General features: G+C 44.9%; 1 protein-coding gene across 28 annotated transcripts in view, besides 1 other annotated feature; it reads right to left on the bottom strand.

The window, feature by feature from the left end:
- Positions 13476–13975: an enhancer, noted in NCBI's record as "H3K27ac hESC enhancer chr1:144850469-144850968 (GRCh37/hg19 assembly coordinates)". NCBI's record gives its function as "activates a minimal SCP1, AML or CMV promoter by ChIP-STARR-seq in naive H9 embryonic stem cells {active_cell/tissue: H9 hESC(naive)}" and the evidence as "EXISTENCE:reporter gene assay evidence [ECO:0000049][PMID:30033119]".
- The window catches only part of PDE4DIP (phosphodiesterase 4D interacting protein), a 224583-nt gene continuing 215279 nt past the window's right edge, over positions 14434–23737 (bottom strand). For 12 of the 28 annotated variants that reach the window (NM_001377392.2, NM_001395298.1, NM_001395303.1 and 9 more), the window contains 7 exons: positions 22766–23005; positions 20619–20735; positions 19823–20049; positions 18747–18890; positions 17525–17663; positions 17172–17218; positions 14434–15506 (listed from right to left, as the gene is read on the bottom strand). In NM_001377392.2, coding sequence (NP_001364321.1) covers positions 15465–15506; positions 17172–17218; positions 17525–17663; positions 18747–18890; positions 19823–20049; positions 20619–20735; positions 22766–23005 — 956 coding nt within the window. In that variant the 3' untranslated portion in view covers positions 14434–15464. Of the gene's footprint in view, positions 15507–16225; positions 16278–17171; positions 17219–17524; positions 17664–18746; positions 18891–19822; positions 20050–20618; positions 20736–22765; positions 23006–23737 lie in introns of all 28 variants that reach the window. The other 16 variants (NM_001395304.1, NM_001395306.1, NM_001395311.1 and 13 more) reach the window with 5 other exon arrangements.

Below are 23737 nucleotides of genomic sequence, written 5' to 3'. Positions count from 1 at the left end.
AGCAATTATTTCGTTATTTATCTCCTTATGTCTAAATAGATATTATTACTTTTTGATTTTCAAGTTTAGGCACTACCTCTCCTTCACATACTTGCTCATCACCACCACCCCCAAACACGCCTCTCACCACCTTACCCTCCAACACGTTTGTGTCCTCATTTGCTGGGTCAATTGCTACATTGTTATAACTTGTATATTTTATTCAGAGTTCAGTCACATTGGATATACATAGCAGGAATGAGAGGCCAGTATCTTCAGGGACTCTCTCTCAAGTAGATAAGCTTCAAAGATTTTTGCAATCTTTGGTCACCCTCCCCATCGTTTTCCTATTCCAGGTAAGTACTGGATCTGATGGGCCCAGCTCAGGTCAGGCACTCTCTCCTTGAGCAGGGGAGAGCGGGACATCTTCATGTGCAGTACCAGGAAGACACTGTCCAAAGAGGGACAGGTAGTTCTAAGACAGAAAAGTCTATCTGGGGTACAGGTAGGCAAAACAAGGACACACACACAAAAATTAGTCTGTTCTGTGAGGGGAGCATGCAGTAGAGGGTGGATTCAGAGTGGGAGGGGAGAGTTTTGAGAGATATGGGCCATGGATATCACTCTGTGGGCCGGAGCCACACAAGACGGTTGGGGTCTCTCAGGGGCAGGGAGCTGAGGAGAATCTGCCCTCCCCAACCTGGGAGACTGGTGAGGGGACTGTCCTGGTCACCAGACAGAAATGGGGTCTGGGCCAGGGCAGTTCTGGTGGGAAAGAAAGAACAGGACATCTCCTTAAGGAAAGGTCCTGAGTCAGGTCTTGGCAGGGAGGGAGGTTACCTTGTCCATTGGCAGCTGAAGATGGTTGGCCAGATGAGGGCACTGAAATCCATGTCCTCTAAACTTGTAGTTCAGTAAAAGAACGACAGCAGTAAAGGGTCTTTAGGAAGAGGAGGTGGAAGACCTGATTTGGGTTGGGGGCTCCAAGAAGAATGTCTGCCTTGCTGTGCAGAAGCCTCTGCACAACCTCCCTGGTCCCCTTGCTCAGTCTCCTGGCCAGACCCCTGTGAGCCCTGGAAGTGCACAGTCAGCTTAGCCAAGGCATCTCCAGCTGGGACTCATCCCTGGGCATTTCTGTGGCCTTGGGTGCCCTGGCCTCCTCCAGGCCCTGTCTTGCAGGCAATCGTCCTGCTAGGGAAGGGGGAAAGGAGGCTACTTGACAGTTAACTCTGAGTGGCTCCACAAGGTCCTGACTTAGCTCCTAGTCACTTGCAAACCTATATACCCCCATCTCATCCCCCAAACGATGAAAAGAAACTTTGCAGGACTCATGCCAGACAAATAGGGTGGGACCATTCTGCAGAGCCAAGTTCTCAGGACATCAATAAGAGATGGGAACCACCTGCTGGAAGGTGCCACAGTGGGAACTTTGGGGTCAGGGAGCAGTCACTGAACTGTCAGGGTGAATCCTGGCTCCTGGCCCTCACACACCCTTTCTCCCCCTCCCTCCTTCTCTCCTCCCTCCTGTCTGCTCTTTCCCCTCTCTCTCCTGAATCCCTCAGGTACCTTCCATGGGCCCTGACCCCTCCTTTTCAGAGGCTCCAAAGTGAGCCCTCAAAACACTTGGTAACCTTGGACATTTCCAAAACTGGAGAGACTTGACCACAGCATTTTTATGAGCTAGGAAGGTCCTCCAGAGCTCTTGCCTAAATTTTTCTGCTGATGAGAAGAGAACAAGAGTGTCCATCTGATCTGGTCCTAAGGCAACTGCTCCTTGGAGCAGAGTCTGGGCAGGAAGAAGGCGGTTGCCCAGGGCCCTGGACTTGCCCCTCCCAGCTGCTCTGCTCCTCTCCCCTTCACTGCGGGAGGCTGGCCAGGGATCAGGAACCTCTATTCTCCACAGATGCTGGGATTCCAGGCTCAAATCTAAATATTGGCTGATTTAGGAGGCTAAGGGAGGCAATTGGCTGGAGGGAGGTGTCAGGATTTGGGACAAGAGCAGCATCTAGTTGCCGTCCACAGAGACCCCAAGGACAGGAATCCACTGGTAGCTGGTCGGAGGGGATCCCATGAAAACAAAATCAAACGCGCGCTTTAGTACTGGACCCAAGATCAGGAGATGAAAAACTGCACTGTCCTAAGGGATGAAGGAATTAGGGAATCCCAGAAGTAAAGCTTTTCATATAGGTCATTTCTTCCAAAGAGATGTAGGGCAATGGCCCAATGATGTGAACAAAAGAAAACTCGGGGTCTAGGATTGAGGGGAGGCAGCCTTTTTAGTGGAGACCTGTGACCTGGAGGCCCAGGGTCACCCTGAGAGGGGAGGGGTCTTGCTGGTCGCTGGGTCCGGGACTCCAATTGCACACAGCCAGTGGCATGGAGGGTCTGTGACCATGATTGGGCAATTTCCCCCATTCTGCTTATAGAGCAATAGAGAGGAACCTCACTGGAATTATACAGAAAGGTCCCAGTGAGACTTGAACTCTGATCACTGTATTCAGAGTCCAAAGTGCTCACCATTACACCATGGAACCTCACACTAGCTTATAACTGGAGGTAACTGAGTTCATACTTAGCAGCCATAGTTCCCACACACCTATGTTAAGGCATTTCTTCTGATCCCTCAAGCAACACCAAGGAAGGTGGACCTGTGAGAGAGGAGTCATCCTCTTTCTCTCTGCCCTCTCCTTTGATCAACTTTTATCATTTCATTTGCACCTCAGAAAATGAGGCAAAATCCAGTTTGGGCTTAGGGCCAGAGAAGAGCCCTTGAGGCCTCCCTCATGGAAAACATACTCTCTCAGTTTACCAGAGTTTCCTGTACCAAGGGGAAATTTCTGCAAACCGTAGTGCTATATTCTTTTTGCCTTCCCTCTTTTCCCTTTGCCCAGGGAGGCCAGATGATTGTGAGAACAGGACTTGGGACTTCCTGGGTGCCTTTCCCCCTTCCTCCATGTGATAAATAATGGCTGACACCAAGCAAGTGGGATTGGGAGGCAGGGAATCTTTCATTTCCTTCTTCATATACTTCTATGCATTTGTTTGGTTGGTTTTGGCAAGATTTTCTAACCAGAAATGGAGATTTGTTGGATTTAAAATAAAAAGTAATCAGCCATGTTTTACATTTCTATAAAACACTCAAACCAGGCCATACTCCCCTGCTGTGCCTCAAAATCAACCATAAACTGTCGAGGTCAGGAGGCAGGGCCCTCACACTTAAGCACAGTGTGTTTCCTCAGAATTGGCCAAGTTGATGCCACTCCAATTTCTCAATATACCACAACCCATTAATTGCGGTTTTTAAAAGTGTACATGTATTTTTACCAAAACCCCAGGGCTTCAGTGTTCTCAGCACACAGAAAGACAATCATTGAGACATTGAGTATTGCTGAGGAAGAAGGCTTTAATCAGGTGCTGCAGCTGAGTAGACAGGAGTTGAGTCTCAAATCTGTCTCCCTGATTGACTCAAGTTAGGGGTTTATATAGCACAGAAGAAATGTAACTGTGTGTGGGAAGAGAGAAACTAGGGAGGGGTGAGGAAGCACTTGTGATGAGTGAGGGGACTGGCATCTCATTGTCTGGATGCTGTGATTGGCTGAGTTTCAGGTCTCTGATGCTTTTTGAGAGGACTGAGAGTCCTTTCCTGAGGAAGGAACTCAGATAAAACAAATATAATTTTCTTTTATAGAATGGCTTGACCTCAGGAGTTTGAAACCAGTCTGGGCAATATGGTGAAACCCTGTCTCTACCAAAATACAAAAAAAAAAAAAAAGAGGGTTGCTTCCAAGATGGCTGAATAGGAACAGCTCCGGTCTACAGCTTCAAGTGAGATAGACGCAGAAGACAGGTGATTTCTGCATTTCCAACTGAGGTACCTGGTTCATCTCACTGGGACTCGTTGAACAGTGGGTGCAGCCCATAGAGGATGAGCCAAAGCAGGGTGGGGTGTCACCTCACCTGGGAAGTGCAAGGGGTTGGGGGATTTCTTTTTCCTAGCCAAGGGAAGCTGTGAGTGACTGCACCTGGAGGAGCAGTACACTCCTGCTCAAATACTGTGCTTTTTTCCACTGTCTTTGCAACTGACAGACCAGGAGATTCCCTCTTGTGCCTGCCTCGGCAAGTCCCATGCCCATGGAGCCTTGCTTGCTGCTAGCACAGCAGTCTGAGATCAACCTGCGACATTGGAGCATGGCAGGGAGAGGGGGTTCTGCCACTGCTGAGGCTCGAGTACTTGGTTCCATGGTCACAGTGTAAACAAAGTGGTAGGGAAGCTCGAACTGGGCAGGGCCCACTGCAGCTCAGCAAGGCCTACTGCCTCTAGATTCCACCTCTGGGGGCAGGGCATATCTGAATAACAGGCAGCAGACAGCTTCTGCAGACTTAAATGTCCCTGCCTGACAGCCCTAAAGGCAGCAGTAGTTCTCCCAGCGTGGCATTTGAGCTCTGATAATGGACAGACAGCCTCCTCAAGTGGGTCTCTGACCACCGTGTAGCCTAACTGGGAGACACCTCCCAGTAGGGGCCGACAGACACCTCATACAAGTGGGTGCCCCGCTGGGACAAAGCTTCCAGAGGAAGGATCAGGCAGCAATATTTGCTATTCTGCAGCCTCTGCTGGTGACACCCAGGCAAACAGGGTCTGGAGTGGACCTCCAGCAAACTCCAACAGACCTGCAGCTGAGGGACCTGCCTGGTTAGAAGGATTAACAAACAGAAAGGAATAGCATCAACATCAACAAAAAGACATCCACACTAAAACCCCATCTGTAGGTCACCAACATCAAAGACCAAAGTAGTACATAAAACCACAAAGATGGGGAGAAACCAGAGCAGAAAGGCTGAAAATTCCAAAAACCAGAGCGCCTCTTCTCCTCCAAAGGAACACAAGTCCTCACCAGCAAGGGAACAAAACTGGATGGAGAATTAGTTTGATGAGGTGACAGAAGCAGGCTTCAGAAGGTCGGTAATAACAAACTTCTCCGGGCTAAAGGAGCATGTTCTAACCCATCACAAGGAAGCTGAAAACCTTGAAAAAAGGTTAGATGAATGGCTAACTAGAATAAACAGTGTAGAGAAGAGCTTAAGTGACCTGCAGGAGCTGAAAACCACAGTATGAGAACCTCATGAAGCATAAACAAGATTCAATAGCCAATTCAATCAAGCGGAATAAAGGATATCAGTGATTGAAGATCAAATTAATGAAATAAAGTGAGAAGACAAGATTAGAGGAAAAAGAGTAAAAAGAAATGAACAAAGACTCCAATAAATATGGGACTATGTAAAAAGACCAAATCTACATTTGATAGCTGTACCTGAAAGTGACAGAGAGAATGGAACCAAGTTAGAAAACACTCTTCACGATATTATTCAGGAGAACTTCCCCATCCTAGCAAGGAAGGCCAACATTCAAATTCAAGACATACAGAGAACACCACAAGATACTCATTGAGAAGAGCAACCCCAAGACACATAATTGTCAGATTCACCAAGGTTGAAATGAAGGAAAAAATATTAAGGGCAGCCAGAGAGAAAGGTCGGGTTACCCACAAAGGGAAGCCCATCAGACTGAGAGCGGACCTCTTGGCAGAAACACTACAAGCCAGAAGAGAGTGGGGACCAATATTCAACATTCTTAAAGAAAAGAATTTTCAATCCAGAATTTCATATCCAGCCAAATGAAGCTTCATAAGTGAAGGAGAAACAAAATCTGTTACAGACAAGCAAATGCTGAGAGACTTTGTCACCACCAGACCTGCCTTACAAGAGCTCCTGAAGGAAGCACTAAACATGGAAAGGAACAACCAGTACCAGCCACTGCAAAAACATGCCAAATTGTAAAGACCATCTATGCTATGAAGAAACTGCATCTATTAATAGGTAAAATAAGGCCGGGAGCAGTGGCTCACGCCTGTAATCCTAGAACTTTGGGAGGCTGAGGCGGGCGGATCACAAGGTCAGGAGATTGAGACCACCCTGGCTAACACTGTGAAACCCCATCTCTACTAAAAATACAAAAACAGAACTAGCCGGGCATGGTGGCGGGTGCCTGTAGTCCCAGCTATTCAAGAGGCTGAGGCAGGAGAATGGTGTGAACCTGGAAGGTGGAGCTTGCAGTGAGCCGAGATCACACCACTGCACTCCAGCCTGGGTGACAGAGCGAGACTCCATCTCAAAAAAAAAGAAAAAAAGGTGGGAAATAACCAGCTAGTATCACAATGACAAGATCAAATTCACACATAACAATATTAACCTGAAACATAAATGGGATAAATTCCCCAATTAAAAAACACAGACTGGCAAATTGGATAAAGAGTCAAAACCCAGGGGCTGTTCCAAGATGGCTGAATAGGAACAGCTCCAGTCTACAGCTCCCAGCATGAGTGATGCGGAAGATGGGTGATTTCTGCATTTCCAATTGAGGTACTGGGTTCTTCTCACTGGGGCTTGTCAGACAGTGGGTGCAGGACAGTGGGTGCAGCTCACCGAGCATGAGCTGAAGCAGGGCAAGGCATCGCCTCACCCAGGAAGTGCAAGGGGTCAGGGAATTCCCTTTCATAGCCAAGCAAAGCTGTGGCAGATGGCACCTGGAAAATTGGGTCACTCCCATGCTAATACAGCACTTTTCCAATGTTCTTAGCAAACGGCACGCTAGGAGATTATATCCCATGCCTGGCTCAGAGGGTCACACACCCACGGAGCCTCACTCCTTGCTAGCACAGCAGTCTGAGATCGAACTGCAAGGTGGCAGCAAGGCTTGGGGAGGGGTGCCCGCCATTGCTGAGGCTTGAGTAGGAAAAAAAAGCTGCAGGGAAGTTCAAACTGGGTGGAGCCCACTGCAGCTCAAGGAGGCCTGCCTGCCTCTGTAGACTCCACCTCTGGGGGCAGGGCATAGCCAAACAAAAGGCAGCAGAAACCTCTGCAGACTTAAATGTCCCTGTCTGACAGCTTTGAAGAGAGTAGTGGCTCTCCCAGCATGGAGTTTGAGATCTGAGAACAGACAGACTGCCTCCTCAAGTGGGTCCCTGACTCTCAAGTAGCCTATCTGGGAGGCATCCCCCAGTAGGGGCAGACTGACACCTCACACGGCCGGGTACCCCTCTGAGACAAAACCTCCAGAGGAACGATCAGACAAAAACATTTGCTGTTCAGCAATATTTGCTGTTCTGCAGCCTCCACTGCTGATACCCAGGCAAACAGGGTCTGGAGTGGACCTCCAGCAAACTTCAACAGACCTGCAGCTGAGGGTCCTGACTGTTAAAAGGAAAACTAACAGACAGAAAGGACATGCACACCAAAACCCCATCTGTATGTCACTATCATCAAAGACTACAGGTAGATAAAACCACAAAGATGGGGGAAAAAAAGAACAGAAAAACTGAAAATTCTAAAAATCAGAGTGCCTCTCCTCCTCCAAAGGAATGCAGCTCCGCACCAGCAATGGAACAAAGCTGGACAGAGAATGACTTTGATGAGTTGAGAGAAGAAGGCTTCAGAATATCAAACTACTCCGAACTAAAGGAGGAAGTTCGAACCCATTGCAAAGAAGTTAAAAACCTTGAAAAAAGATTAGATGAACGACTAACTAGAATAACCAATGCAGAGAAGTCCTTAAAGGACCAGGTGGAGCTGAAAACCATGGCATGAGAGCTACATGATAAATGCACAAGCTTCAGTGGCCGATTCGATCAACTGGAAGAAAGGGTATTGGTGATTCAAGATCAAATGAATGAAATGAAGTGAGAAGAGAAGTTTAGAGAAAAAAGAATAAAAAGAAATGAACAAAGCCTCCAAGAAATATGGGACTATGTGAAAAGACCAAATCTATGTCTAATTGGTGTACCTGAAAGTGACAGGGAGAATGGAACCAAGTTGGAAAACACTCTGCAGGATATTATCCAGGAGAACTTCCCCAACCTAGCAAGGCAGGCCAACATTCAAATTCAGGAAATACAGAGAACACCACAAAGATACTCCTCGAGAAGAGCAACTCCAAGACACATAATTGTCAGATTCACCAAAGTTGAAATGAAGGAAAAAATGTTAAGGGCAGCCAGAGAGAAAGGTCGGGATACCCACAAAGGGAAGCCCATCAGACTAACAGCTGATCTCTTGGCAGAAACTCTACAAGCCAGGAGGGAGTGGGGGCTAATATTCGACATTCGTAAAGAAAAGAATTTTCAACCCAGAATTTCATATCCAGCCAAATGAAGCTTCATAAGTGAAGGAGAAATAAAATACTTTACAGACAAGCAAATGCTGAGAAATTTTGTCACCACCAGGCCTGCCCTAAAAGAGCTCCTGAAGGAAGCACTAAATATGGAAAGGAAAAACTAGTACCAGCCACTGCAAAAACATGCCAAATTGTAAAGACCATCGATGCTAGGAAGAAACTGCATCAACTAATGAACAAAATAACCAGCTAACATCATAATGACAGGATCAAATTCACACATAACAATATTAACCTTAAATGTAAATGGGCTAAATGCTCCAATTAAAAGACACAGACTGGCATATTGGATAAAGAGTCAAGACCCATCAGTGTGCTGCATTCAGGAAAACCATCTCACATGCAGAGACACACACAGGCTCAAAATAAAGGGATGGAGGAAGATCTACCAAGCAAATGGAAAACAAAAAAAGGCAGGGGTTGCAATCCTAGTCTCTGAAAAAACAGACTTTAAACCAACAAAGATCAAAAGAGACAAAGAAGGCCACTATATAATGGTAAAGGGATCAATTCAACAAGAAGAGCTAACTATCCTAAATATATATGTACCCAATACAGGAGCACCCAGATTCATAATGCAAGTCCTTAGAGACCTACAAAGAGGCTTAGACTCCCACACAATAATAATGGGAGACTTTAACACCCCACTGTCAACTTTAGACAGATCAACAAGACAGAAAGTTAACAAGGATATCCAGGAATTGAATTCAGCTCTGTACCAAGTGGACCTAATAGACATCTACAGAACTCTCCACCACAAATCAACAGAATATACATTATTCTCAGCACCACACTGCACCTATTCCAAAATTGACCACATACTTGGAAGAAAAGCACTCCTCAGAAAATGTAAAAGAACAGAAATTATAACAAACTGTCTGTCAGACTACAGTGCAATCAAACTAGAACTCAGGATTAAGAAACTCACTCAAAACCACTCAACTACGTGGAAACTGAACAACCTGCTCCTGAATGACTACTGGGTAAATAATGAAATGAAGGCAGAAATAAAGAGGTTCTTTGGAATCCACGGGAACAAAGACACAACAAATCAGAATCTCTGGGACACATTTAAAGTAGTGTGTAGAGGGAAATTTATAGCAATAAATGCCCACAAGAGAAAGCACGAAAGATCTAAAATCGACACCCTAACATCACCATTAAAAGAAGTAGAGAAGCAAGAGAAAACACATTCAAAAGCTAGCAGAAAGCAAGAAATAACTAAGATCAGAGCAGAGCTGAAGGATATAGAGACACAAAAATCCCTTCAAAAAATCAATGAATCCAGGAGCTGGTTTTTTGAAAAGATCAACAAAATTTATAGACTGCCAGCAAGACTAATAAAGAAGAAAAGAGAGCAGAATCACATAGACACAATAAAAAATGATAAAGGGGATATCACCACTGATCCCACAGAAATACAAACTACCTTCAGAGAATACTATAAACACCTCTCTGCAAATAAACAAGAAAATCTAGAAGAAATGGATAAATTCCTTGACACATACACCCTCGCAAGACTAAACCAGGAAGAAGCTGAATCTCTGAATAGACCAATAACAGGCTCTGAAATTCGGGCAAAAATTAATAGCTTACCAACCAAAAAAAGTCCAGGACCAGATGGATTCACAGCCGAATTCTATCAGAGGTACAAGGAGGAGCTGATATCATTCCTTCTGAAACTATTCCAATCAATAGAAAAAGAGAGAATCCTCCCTAACTCATTTTATGAGGCCAGCATCATCCTGATACCAAAGCCTGGCAGAGACAAAACAAAAAAGGAGAATTTTAGACCAATATCCCTGATGAACATCGATGCAAAAATCCTCAATAAAATACTGGCAAACCGAATCCAGCAACACATCAAAAAGCTTATCCACCATGATCAAGTGGGCTTCATCCCTGGGATGCAAGGCTGGTTCAACATACACAAATCAATAAACGTAATCCAGCATATAAACAGAACCAATGACAAAAACCACGAGTATTTCAATGGAGGCTGAAAAGGCCTTCGACAAAATTCAACAGCCCTTCATGCTAAAAACTCTCAATAAATTAGGTATTGATGGGACGTATCTAAAAATAATGAGAGCTATTTATGACAAATCCACAGCCAATATCATACTGAATGGGCAAAAACTGGAAGCATTCCCTTTGAAAACTGGCACAAGACAGGGATGCCCTCTCCCACCACTCCTATTCAACATAGTGTTGGAAGTTCTGGCCAGGGCAATCAGGCAGGAGAAAGAAATAGTCTTTTCCTCAATTAGGAAAAGAGGAAGTCAAATTGTCCCTGTTTGCAGATGACATGATTGTATATCTAGAACCCCCCATCACCTCAGCCCAAAATCTCCTTAAGCTGATAAGCAACTTCACCAAAGTCTCAGGTTACAAAATCAATGTGCAAAAATCACAAGCATTCTTATACACCAACAACAGACAAACAGAGAGCCAAATCATGAGTGAACTCCCATTCACAATTGCTTCAAAGAGAATAAAATACCTGGGAATCCAACTTACAAGGGATGTGAAGGACCTCTTCAAGGAGGACTACAAACCACTGTTCAAGGAAATAAAAGAGGACACAAACAAATGGAAGAACATTCCATTCTCATGGAGAGGAATAAACAATATCGTGAAAATGGCCATACTGCCCAAGGTAATTTATAGATTCAATGCCATCCCCATCAAGCTACCAATGACTTTCTTCACAAAATTAGAAAAAACTACTTTAAAGTTCATATGTAACCAAAAAAGAGCCCGCATTGCCAAGTCAATCCTAAGCCAAAAGAACAAAGCTGGAGGCATCACACTACCTGACTTTAAACTATACTACAAGGCTACAGTAAACAAAACAGCATGGTACTGGTACCAAAACGGAGATACAGACCAATGGAACAGAACAGAGCCCTTAGAAATAACACCACACATCTACAACTATCTGATCTTTGACAAACCTGACAAAAACAAGAAATGGGGAAAGGATTCCCTATTTAATAAATGGTGCTGGGAAAACTGGCTAGCCATATGCAGAAAGCTGAAACTGGATCCCTTCCTTACATCTTATACAAAAATTAATTCAAGGTGGATTAAAGACTTAAATGTTAGATGTAAAACCATAAAAACCCTAGAAGAAAACCTAGGCAATACCATTCAGGACATAGGCATGGGCAAGGACTTCATGTCTAAAACACCAAAAGCAATAGCAACAAAAGCCAAAATTGACAAATGGGATCTAATTAAACTAAAAAGCTTCTGCACAGCAAAACAAACTACCATCAGAGTGAACAGGCAACCTACAGAATGGGAGAAAATTTTTGCAATCTACTCATCTGACAAAGGGCTAATATCCAGAATCTACAAAGAACTCAAACAAATTTACAGGAAAAAAAACAACCCCATCAAAAAGAGGGCAAAGGATATGAACAGACACTTCTCAAAAGAAGACATTTATGCAGCCAACAGACATATGAAAAAATGCTCATCATCACTGGTCATCAGAGAAATGCAAATCAAAACCACAATGAGATACCACTCATGCCAGTTAGAATGACGATCATTAAAAAGTCAGGAAACAACAGATGCTGTAGAGGATGTGGAGAAATAGGAACGCTTTTACACTCTTGGTGGGAGTATAAATTAGTTCAACCATTGTGGAAGACAGTGTGGCAATTCCTCAAGGATCTAGAACTAGAAATACCATTTGACCCAGCAATCTCATTACTGGGTGAATACCCAAAGGATTATAAATCATGCTACTATAAAGACATGTGCACTCCTATGTTTATTGAGGCACTATTCACAATAGCAAAGACTTGGAACTAACCCAAATGTCCATCAATAATAGACTAGATAAAGAAAATGTGGCACATATACACCAAAGAATACTATGCAGCCATAAAAAAGGATGAGTTCTTGTCTTTTGCAGGGACATGCATGAAGCTAGAAATTGTGATTATCAGCAAAATATCACAAGGACAGAAAACCAAACTCCGCATGTTCTCACTCTTAAGTGGGAGTTGACCAATGAGAACACATGGACACAGGGAGGGGAACATCACACACCGGGGCCTGTTGTGGGGTAGGAGGCTGGGGGAGGGATAGCGTTAGGAGAAATACCTAATGTAAATGATGAGTTGATGGGTGCAGCAAACCAACATGGCACACGTACACCTATATAACAAACCTGCACGTTGTGCACATATACCCTAGAACTTAAAGTATTTTTTTTTAAAAAAGATTATTTCTTTGAATAAGTGTTCTACTCTTTGCTCCTTCTCAAGTCCCTCTTTAAGGCCAATGAATCTTTGATTTTCTCTTTTCAGGCCCTCTTCTAGATCTCTTAAGCATTCTGTGTTCCTGCTCATTCTTCTTTTCTTTTTTCTCCTCTGACTGTATTTTCAAATAGCTTGTTTGCATGCTCACTAATTCTTTCTTCTGCTTGATCAATTCTACTGAGACCCACTAATGTATTTTCCAGCTCCAGCATTTGATTTTTTTCTCTTACTTCAGTAATCTTGTTAAATTTCTGATATATTTCTGAATTGTTTCTCTGTGTTTTCTTGAAGTTCATTGAGCTTTCTCAAAATAGCTATTCTGAATTCCCTGAGAGGTTACACGTCTCCATCTCTCCAGGGTTGGTCACTGAGTGCCTTACTTGGTCCATTTGTTGAGGTCATATTGGCTTCAATGTTATTGATACTGTTGATGTTTGTCAGTATCTGGGCATTGAAGGATAAGGTATTTATTCCAGCCTTTGCAGTCAGGTCTTGTTTGTACCTGTCCTTCAGAGGACTTTCCAGGAATTCAAAGTGGGCTGACGAGTTCCCTAAGCCAGTGATCACTGCAGCCATTTTTGTACTACAGGGCACCCTAGGCCCAGGTACACTGCAATTCTTACCGATTCCTAGGTCCCCAGCCCTGTGGACTTGGGGGAAGATCAGGGATTGTTCTCCGCATTCCCAGGTAAAGCCCCTAGCTTACTTCCCTTTCTTTCCCCCAAGCAAGAGGAACCTCTCTTCAGGCTGCACTGCCTGGAGTGTGGGGAGGGGTGATACAGGCATTCCCATAGCTGCTGCAGCTGCTGCCATCATACTGGCTCACACCACAAGTCCAGGGTGTTCCAGACCTATGCAGCATCAGGGCTTGCCCAAGGACTGCGGCCACTACAGCCTGCCTGCCACTGAAATTTATTTGAAGCCCAAGAAATTTCCAGTGATAAAGCCGGCCAGAACTTTGCTGGGTTCTTCCTGCTGGGGCAGCTGGTTCCCTTGTGGCCCAGGGTGGGTCTAAATGCTTCTTCTGTGGGCACCAGCCTGGAATCAAGTGCTGTGGGGTTCTGCCCAGTGCCGTGTATCACTATGGCAAGACTGGTACTAAGTTTCAATATAAAGTCTCACACTTTCCCCCTTGTCCCCAAGCCATTAGATTCTCTCTCAGAGAATTTCCTGTGGTTGGGGGAGAGGTGTCATAGGCAATGCAAGACTGTCCTTCCTCCCTTCTTCAATGCATCTTTTCTTGTTAGCAAGTTAAAAGCGGGTGCTATGATCTCTCACCTGGCTAGCCCTTGTGAAAGTGTTTTCTTACATAGATAGTTGTTTAATTTGATGTTCCTTCAGAGAGACCATTGCTGGAGAATTCTATTCTACCATCTTACTCCACCTTCTACCTGTTTTTATTTTTTAAATGTTTCTAGTACATAATTGTGAAGTGATAGCTTATTTTAATCTTGGGAATCAAAAGCATGTAGCTAAGAACTTTTCCCAAGGAATATTTTAAAATTTTTATATCAATGTTTATGGAATGACATACTTTTTGATTCAAGGTTCTTAAATGTAGTTTTAGTTTTGATTCAATGTTATAGAACACTGTTTTTTAAACTGTGATCTGAAGCCCACATGTAATGGAATCACCTGGGGTGCTTATATTAAAAAAATGCAGATTCTAGGGCTCACACCAACTAAATCTCCTGGGATTGGAGACCAGGAGGTAGCTCCTATAATCTCCACAGCTGCTTCTCAGGCACACCAAGTTTAAGAACCATTCTTTCATATTTTCAGACTGGGGATTCTTACAAAATGACAAAGAAGGAAAACCTTAATCTTTTAAAGTTAGAGTTCAAGCATTAGACTATATGCTTCTTAAACACAGTTTGTCTTTCCCATTTTCTCTTTCCAGTTCTTTATACTGTCAAGGGATTGGTGCAGAAATGGGAAACAAAGCAGTGAAAGAAAAACTATTTATTTCTTTATACACATTTTGCTTTAACAATCACCAAAAAGACTTTCATTTTCTGTCACCCACCCTGTCCACCAGTTATGTTGGCCTTCAATATATGGCGTTAGCAACATATATAAATCTATATCATATATTTATACACACAAACACATTCTACCAGCACTGTGAAGACACAGACTAGGCTTTACTAGGCTTGGGGCCTCTCCCATGCCACTTAAAAATGAGCACAGGTTTGCTCTATGCAAGAATTTCAACAGAGTTGGTCTGGCCATCAGTCTGCAATTTCCCCGAGATAAGATAGGGTGACAAAATGGGACAGCAACTTTGAAGTGAGGTCAGTCCAATTTGGATATCATAGAAGAAAAGAAATAGGATGTGCTAGGTTAAGCCTGAGATGGTATCTGGGAAGTCACCACATTCATGATGTGAACTCAAAGAACACAGGTGCTACAGTGCAGACCAAGGCCCAGCCTGACTCGACCCAACAGGGTCAGGTGTGGATCTGTGAGTAGTGCTCACTGAGCCCCCGCCAGCAGTGTCCGGCAGGGCACCGCTGCTCAGTAGTGTGCTTTTAGAACCTGCCAGAGGAGCTCCAGCATTGGGACCACGTGCCCCTTTCATCGGAATCAGGGTCCTATATTCACTGAGTTTTCCATCTCAGGACAGCTGATGAGGCAAGAAATGTGCTCTTGCTAGTTCCCAAGCTGCTGGGGCTGTTGAGAGGCAGGATCACAAAACCTTCTGTGCAAACTACGCATCTTTTTCTTAGTGCTGGGCCAAGTGGACCTTGGCTAATCGTATTCCATAGCCGTCAGAAAGGCTTTCTGCCTTTCTCCCAGCTCCACCAGGATACATCTCTGACTCCCTCTTCTGGACCCTCCCGTGGACTTGGAGGAATGAGGCCCAGATGCTCCTCAGCAGATAGGTAGCTGCACAAAAGGGGGACAGGCCCACCTTTCCTGCTGTTTTAAGGACTTCTGGTGGCTGCGCTTCTTGCATGGTTCCTGGAAGGCAAGGGTCACAAGGCTGGAGTACATGGCAGAGCCCTTAGGGATTTCACCTGCAGACAAACATAAAACAAACCAAATCAGTGTATATTGCCAGGCCCTACTGATGGCTACCTGAAGCTGGAGTGAGAGCTACGTGGTGACCAAAGCCAGGAGCACGGTGAGAGCCAGTTAAGAGGATGAGCTAAGAGCATGCGCTGCAGTCTGGAGGAGCAACAGGTGCCCGAGGTTAGGGGGAGCCTCCCCACCTCCCTGTGTGCTGAGATCCCTGCTCCAATTCACTGCACACTGGGTGGCTGGATCCTACCACTCCCCCTTCAGGGGCCAGGTGACTCTCCAAATCACTTTGTCTCAGCAGAAAGAGGCCTTTGCCATGTCCACCCAAGAAAGAAGTGCTTAGCATGAAACATGCACATATAGAAACAGCCTGTTTGTAGGAAGAAGAGGACATTTTGCTGGGAAGCCCTCTGTTAAGTTTATGTCCAGTTGCCATAATGAGGGTGTGGAGGGGCCAAGTCCACAGGGACCTCAGAGCTCAACTAAGTCCAGTTCCATCTTTGACAGATGAGGGTGCAGCAGTCTCACAGAGACTAAGGGACAAGCCAAAGCCACACAGCAGTTAGTGATAAGCCAGGGATTAGAACCGAGGCCTCGGGTCCTTTCCAGTGATCTATGGGAGGTGGAGGGGAAAGCTTCCACACTGGAGAAAGCCAGTGGATACTAGAGATTTTTGGGTTACCTTTTAGTGGATACTAGAGACTTTTTGGATTACCTTTTCTGGGACAGGAATAAGGCTTTACAGAGGCAATCCTGTAAGTGCTGCTCTAAAGAGGCTCAGGAAAGAGAAGAATTATCAGAGAAAAACAAAAGGGAATTAGTGAAAAAATAAAAAAAAGAGCAAGTTAAACTGGCCCAAGTCATTTTCACACTATGGAGATCAACATTCTCTCAGGTTATGGATTAGAAACATTTCTAGGAATATGCTGAATTGCTTATGGCAAAGCTTTGATGTCCATGTTAAAAGGTTTAGTTTCTGATTTTTAACCATTTCATATACCTCAAGTTTTTCTTCAAAGCACTTCCTAGGGAATGATTAACACTTAGTGTTTTAAGTAAATGTAGATAATGTCTGGTACATATATAACATTTTTTCCCTGAAGGTTCAGTTGTTATTTATTAACAAATTCGCTTTTAGACCAATGAGACCCAACAGATCTCTTTTGTCATGTTACTTAAAGATATAGCAAAATCAAATTGCTGTTCTTAACCCGGGAATGTGCAGTGAAATCAGTTTATTAGGTTGCAAATTGCTTTTACTTTTTCATGAAGAGTAGAACACATAACTGGCCTCAAGATCCCTCTACTAGAAGCTCATTCAGAGGCAGACTCCCGAATGTCTAATGACTTCAAGAGTCAGCTGAATTGCATTTCTCCAGTCTCTGAACTTGGCCTCAAAGAAGAAAAATTGGAGTAAAAAGGAGAGATGATGACAATGTGAGAGTGAACCAAGATACAGGGGCAGGAGCTGACGGGGTGGGAGGGTGATGGGGACAGAAACTAGCAGGATGCTCACTGAGGACCTGTGATCTTGCAAGTGGACCCCAAGTCTTCTCCTGGAAGGCCAAAGCAGGCCAAGGGTCACCTACAAGATCTGCTAACGGATGGTGATGGGTGGGGGACAGGCTTGGTGCCTCTGACTGGTGCAGTAGTTTCCTTACCTCTAAGTTAGTCCTTGCCTTCTTTAAAACATCATGTGTTCTGGTTACTGAAACAACAAAAGAGCACCACAGAGTAGAAACCACCAGCAGAAATTAACCCTACTTGCTTAGCATGAGAATTCTAAAGCATTTATTTCTTTCTGGCTATTCAGCTTGGAGTCTCCTTCTATCCACCCCCTGTCCTCCCCTCCCTCTGCAGCCACAATTGCTCCTGGTACAGGAGGTTTGGGGACATCAAATCAGTCTCAACTCCCAACATCCCCAAGCCCCCCTGGTCACTGCTCATCTGCAGCACAAGTGGGGCATCGGGAAGACTGCCTGTTTCTTCCCCCATTCCCTCTCAGGGAACCTACGCTGGCTGACGATGAACTGCTCCATGCTCTCCTTCTGCTGGTTGGCGTTCTTCAGATGCTCAGTTGTGCTCTGAAGGAGTCGCTCCTGTTTGGATACTTTGGTTCTCAGTTCCAGAAGTTCCCTTTCTGTTGATTCTCCCTGGATAAGAGGAACAGACTCTTACTGACCAGGCAGAAGGCCTAAAGCACCCTGTGCTTTGTGGCTCTTTCCAATTCAAAGAAGGATTCTACAGTCTTCTCAACTCTCTTGAACTGGATTTCCTCCTTCACAGCCTCGGATACCTCCAGCTGAGGACAGTTCAGGATGAGGCCATTAGGCAGGAATAATGAGACTCTGGAATTCCCCATGCAGACTAGCACAGGCCTACACACCTGTAGCTTAAGAGAACCTCGCCTCAGGCTGGTATCAAACTCCCAACTCTGAAGAGGACCTTGCTTTAGTCCTGATATCAGTTCTGTCACTCTCCCTTCACAGGTAAGATTGAGAGTTCAGAAGTGTTATGCTGGGGTGAGAGATCTGGACTCAGGGAAGTCTGCAAGTTTGTAAATATTTGTGCCAACATGAAGATGGCAAAACACCCTCTCCCTGGAATTAGCATAGTTGGATCCAAAAGGTATTGGTGCCATTGACCTGGAAGTAGAATCCCTGGGGAGGGGATCCTGAAACCTGCCTACATGAGGGTCTGCCAATCAGAGTTAGCCTGAGCTCTGAGCAGATCCTGAGGGGTGGCTGACTTTCCCCAGGCCTGGTCCAGCGATGCCAGCTTAAGTTGTATGTTGGGATTCCAGGCAGTGGCTAAAAAGGCTCAGTCTCATGGGGCATTCTGTGATCATTTAACCATGGGACCTGAGGGGTGGGAGATGGGTGCTGAAGCTTTAACTGAATTTCAGCTCAGTCAAACTTCAGAGAAGTAAATAAACTGAACATTTATGGATGGCCAGGGTTATGATGTCTCCGCCTTCTTCACACCCCTTCATCTTCTTTGATTTCTTAACCAGGGGACAGGGGGCTGGTGGGGAATGGGATATATTCAGAGCTGTAATGAAAGCAGCCACCATGGGTCAGAGATGTCCCTCCAGGGACACTCCTCTAAGTTCCTGTCTATCCCAACTCACTATGTGGCTCCTGATTTTCTGGAAAAGCTGTGACATTGAGGAGACAGAACAGTATTGGAGGGCAGGAGAACTGGGTTTGAACCAAGAAAGGGCACTGGCATCTTACCACTTTGCCAGGCAGCACAGGGATGTGGGTGCTTGGCAGGGCCGCTCTCCAGAACATGGTGAGGAGGGAAGCTGACTCCTCTAGGGCATGGTGCAGGGCACTGGTGCTGCTCCGAAGCTCATGAATACCTTTGCTGCCTAGCACCTGGGGAAAGGTAACACCACAGGAGCGGAGAGATTACTTTCTTCCCCCTGCATGGGCTCAAGCTTCCTTTGTGAGTGAGGCATAGAACATGGGCCTGCTTGAACCTGTGAAGCCCTCACACAACCATTTGCAGCTCTCAGAACTAAGGTGCTGCTCCCTTTACCAGGAATGCCTTCCTCCACCTGCAGAACCCACAAGGCTTTCAAAACTCACCCCCCTTGCTATGTCCTCTATGAGCCTGTTACCTTCCTTGCCTGAGATAAATGACCACATTTGTATTGGAGCTCTCACAGCACAGAGGATGACTTCTCATACTGTGCCTGTAGCCCCTTACTGTGCTTATCTACTTGGGTGTGTGTCTTGCCCTCTAGTGTGGGGGCTCCGTGGAGGCAGGGCTGTCCCTACGCATCCATGGGTCTCCAGCAGCTCAGACAGCACAGCCACAGGTTCCTGGTCTCTCTCACTGGCAAGGTGCTCTCAGAAGCTTTGCTGACTGCCTTCCCTCCCTCTATGCAGTCTGCACAAGGAAATGACATGGCTGCCAGGCTTCTCACCCCTTCCACATGTGGGGGCCATACACCTGCAAATCCTTCAGTTTCTATCCATCCCATTGAGTTGACTCTGCCCACAGATGGTCATGTGCCTGCATGACTATGGTAGATAATAAGCTACCAAAGGCTGCTAGGCAATGCCACATGTTTCTGTGGGGCTGAGGGGAAATATCCAGTCAGCTACATCTGGAACAGAGCAGAACTCACAGTGAAAATAGGAGATAGAGAAGAAAGGGCCTGGCTGCTATACATGGAAGAGGAAGTCTCAGCTGTTGAGAGATGCAAAGCATGAAAAAAACAAAAATGGTGGGAGAAGGAGTTAACATCAAAGGAAGAAAGGGCACAGGGAAAGAGTGCACCTAAAGCTTCAGGTGTGATTACCTCTGTGCCTTGGGCTTCAAGGCCAGGGAAGCTGCACGCTGATCTCACAAGAGACACTATCTTTTTGACCAGCAGCTTGCCCTCCGCAATCTGCTGTCTTAGGGCACTGTAGTCATCAATGTGGCCAATGACATGGCGGCCATGCTTATTGGCAAAGGAGCCATCAGTAGCATCACCCTCTAGCTTGGGAGGGGTCTTCATTACTGGAGAAGTATCCAAACCCAAGCCTGAAAAAGAAAATGACAACACAACAGAATCTTCTGTTATTCATAATGATATCCTCAGTTTGCTCCAACTAAAAAAGAGGTAGGGAACAAGAAAAGGACGAGGCCGGGAACAAGAAAGGAAGCCTGGGAATGTACAAGGGTGGGGCAAAGTCCATAGAGATCTTCTGGCTTCTATATTTTTATAATCTTTCTTACATTATCTCTTAATGATAAATTTGCCAGGAGACAATTTTTTCCTTATTGGCAAATGAAATAGGATGAATCATAATAAATAATAAGTTTCTGAGTAGAGAAGACACAGACAAGGAAGTCAAGCTGGATACAGACAGCATTTTCAAGAATAGAGAGATTATGGTGCAATGAAGCAAAAACAGCAGTAGGAAAACTACAGGAGGATGAACAATGGCAAGAAAGGCAGCCACAGAAGGTGCAGGGAGTAGGGCTAAAGGCCTTGGGGCATGCAGAGAAAACTCTCTAAATACAGATAATATGTTTAGAGACAACAAAAGGTTGTTTGCATTAATCACTTTCCATCATCAGTCCCTGGGCCCTTTAGTTGCCATATTTACCATTTGCTCTGTTGATTATGGGCGTTTCTGAGCCAGGAGTAGAGGAAGCAGAGCTGGGGAAGACCAGAGCTGGGGAATTCATACCAACATCCCGGACTGGAGGGGACACAGCTGAATCTAGGGGGTAAAGGCAACCACAGTTTTCAGGAGCCCTGGAACACACTGCACATGAAGCACATGCACACCTAGCTGTCCCCACTGAGACCTAAGGTGGCAGGACTCTCCTCTTACAGAATTATCCATACCCCACAAGCCAAAGCAAAATCAAAAGCCTATGAGTCACTGAGTTCAGAATGTTTCCATTCTTCAGAACAAAAAGATATTCCTGTAATTGAGGGGTGTTCCATGAGAACGTAACTTCTAGTTTGAAAAATTATTAGGTGTATTTTTATAAACCGAGTCTTAAGTATAATTTGTGTGTGGTATCTAATATGATGCCCTGTAACTAAATGTAATATGTATAAATATACATAGTACATATTAAAATCTAGAATCAAAGAATCAAGGAATGAATGGATTCATGGGGGACTCAACATTCTAGTCATCATTCTGATGAGGTAATACTGAAAAAAATTGACTTGTATGAGAAGAACGGAGACAGAAGGCTTGGTGGGTTAACATTGTCTTGCTGGAGACTAAAAAGCAACCCTATGGTGGAGGAATTGGAAAATATCACAAAGAAGGTAGAAAAGGTCCTGCTCAGGCAAGTGTGGCCCAGTGCCTGCTTTCCAGCTCAGGCCTCCGGGGTGCTAGAGAAAGAGGGGCAGGGACTGCATCAGTGGGGCTGAGTCTTGGCTGCTGTATGGGAAGCCAGTGAGAGAAGAAGGCCTGGTTAGAAGGAAGAGTTGGAGACATAACTGAACACCACAACCATCAGGGCAGCCCAGAGGAGGGCAAGGTGTCCAACTAATGTAAGCTGAGCAGTGCCTGGTGGTCAGGCGGTTTGCTTGGTGGACCACATGTGTTTTTTTATTGAATTGCCAAAACAGCATAATCATGTTATTGTCACCTTCATTTGACAAATAAGGTTACTGTCAGATAAATGAGAATCTACAAGAACCACAGAAAAACAAAGATTAACATGACCCAGAAATAGCTGGCAGGAGAGTTTGAAAGCTCAGCTTTAGAGAAACTGAACAGAAGTGGTTCCTGATTTGAATAAAATTGAAGGTATGGCCATGGAGGTGAGTGGAGATGGTGTACTAAACGGTGTATCAAAAGGAGAAAAGGACAGAGGAAGTAGAAATTGAATGATTTAAGAGACTAGGGGGACACCATTGACATTTCAATGAAAACTGGGAGAAGTGAGATTGATAGAGGATATTGAGAAGGGGGACCTGGTCAAACACGCCTATCTGAAAAGGCAGGCAAGGGGTGGGGTAGAGAAAGCGAATGATGACCACCCGAAATAAATCACCCACCATCCAGGACTTCCCCAGAGCCCTGTTTCCTTAGGGGCAGGAACATTTTACCATACACTGAGTTCCCCACCTGTGAGGGAAAGGGGGACTAGAGAATCTGGGAAGGTCGGCAATACTGAGACAGGGCACAATGAGCTGGAAGGAACACAGACTGAAAATCACAACATCTGGTTCTGATCCTGGCTTTGTCTATAACTTCTCTAAATCCCCGCTTGTCTGTTAATATCTCAGGACCTAAGTTTTCTTATGTGAAATACAGAGATAGCAAAACCTGCTTTACTTCAGATGAAATTATATATGTGAAAACACTTGGCTAAAACTAAAGCACCAAGCAAATCCAAGAAAAAGATATGAACATATACAGCTGCTAATTATTGAGTAATTCTTAGTGTGCCAAGCACTTGTAAATGATTTCATTTAATGCTCAAAATCATATAAGGTACATATGATCATTATCCTCATCTTAAATATAAGGAAACTAAAGCTTAAACCTCTGAGACTTTAGACACCTTGCCCAAATCAAACGACCTCTAAGTGGTAAACTCAGAATCTGGAGCCCAGTCTGACCTAAATCCCACGCTTTCACTCAGGTTGCTAGACTAGAGCATCTCTGATTTCAACCTGACCCTAAGGAGCATGGACCAGGCAGATTACACCTTCTGCCGCAGAACTTCCTGGTGATCTCCCCACTGGCCAAGGGCTTTCTAAGTCCCTTTTCCTTCCTACCTTGGAGGAGCAGCTGCTTGTTTCCAGGGTCAGTGCTGGCTGGGAAGTTCTGGTTAATGGAGGAGGGGCTGAGGCTGGCTTTGCCAGCACCGCTCTCCAGCTGCTGTTGCAGCTGCAGTCGCAGACAATTGTTCCCCTGAATGCTCTGCTCCAGCTGCCCTCTCAGAGCTCGTACCTCTGCCACCAGGTGGCTCAGGTCACTGCTCAAAGGGATTTGGTGACAGGCATCCAGGCTGTAAGCTGAGAGAGAAGGAGTCTGGTAACATTGACCCAAGTATTTCCAAGCACTTGTCAGAACCCTCCTCTGTGACATTCTTTTCTGCCAAGGACCCCACTATCATCTGAGTCTCATGCAACCCATCTGTGATGGAGATGTCACCATTTCTGTGTGTGGCCTGGGGATGGCACTGAGCTGGCACACATCCAGTCTGAAACTTCCCTGCGGCTTAAGTTACACACATGCACCTATAGAGCATTTGATTGGCAGATGAAGATAAGTCCATATTTCATCTCCATAGTAACCTTAATCCTGTAGGCTAAAGTATAGGATACTCCAAGGTAGAAGGTCAGCACTGAGCTAGAGAAGGGTAGGGGATGAGGAAGAAAGAGATTTCATAGTCCTCACTCTCAAAAATGAAAGAGAAGGAGGAGGTCTTTTGGTAGCATGTGAGAATGTGAGTTGGGCACCTTAGACGAGGGATTATAACTGAGTTTTTCAATTTCTCTCTCTCTCTTTCTCTCTCTCTCTCTATATATATGTGTGTGTGTGTGTACATATATATACACCTACATATAGTGTGTTTATATATGTTGTGTGTATATACATACTATATATAGGTGTATATATGTGCACACATATACATGTACATATATATGTGCACACATATACATGTACATATATATGTACACACATATACATGTACATATATATGTGCACACATATACATGTACATATATATGTGCACACATATA

The sequence above is a fragment of the Homo sapiens genome, chromosome 1, assembly GCF_000001405.40.
Source record: "Homo sapiens chromosome 1, GRCh38.p14 Primary Assembly".
Taxonomy (NCBI): Eukaryota; Metazoa; Chordata; class Mammalia; order Primates; family Hominidae; genus Homo; species Homo sapiens.
This window is presented reverse-complemented; position numbering and strand designations above follow the sequence as displayed.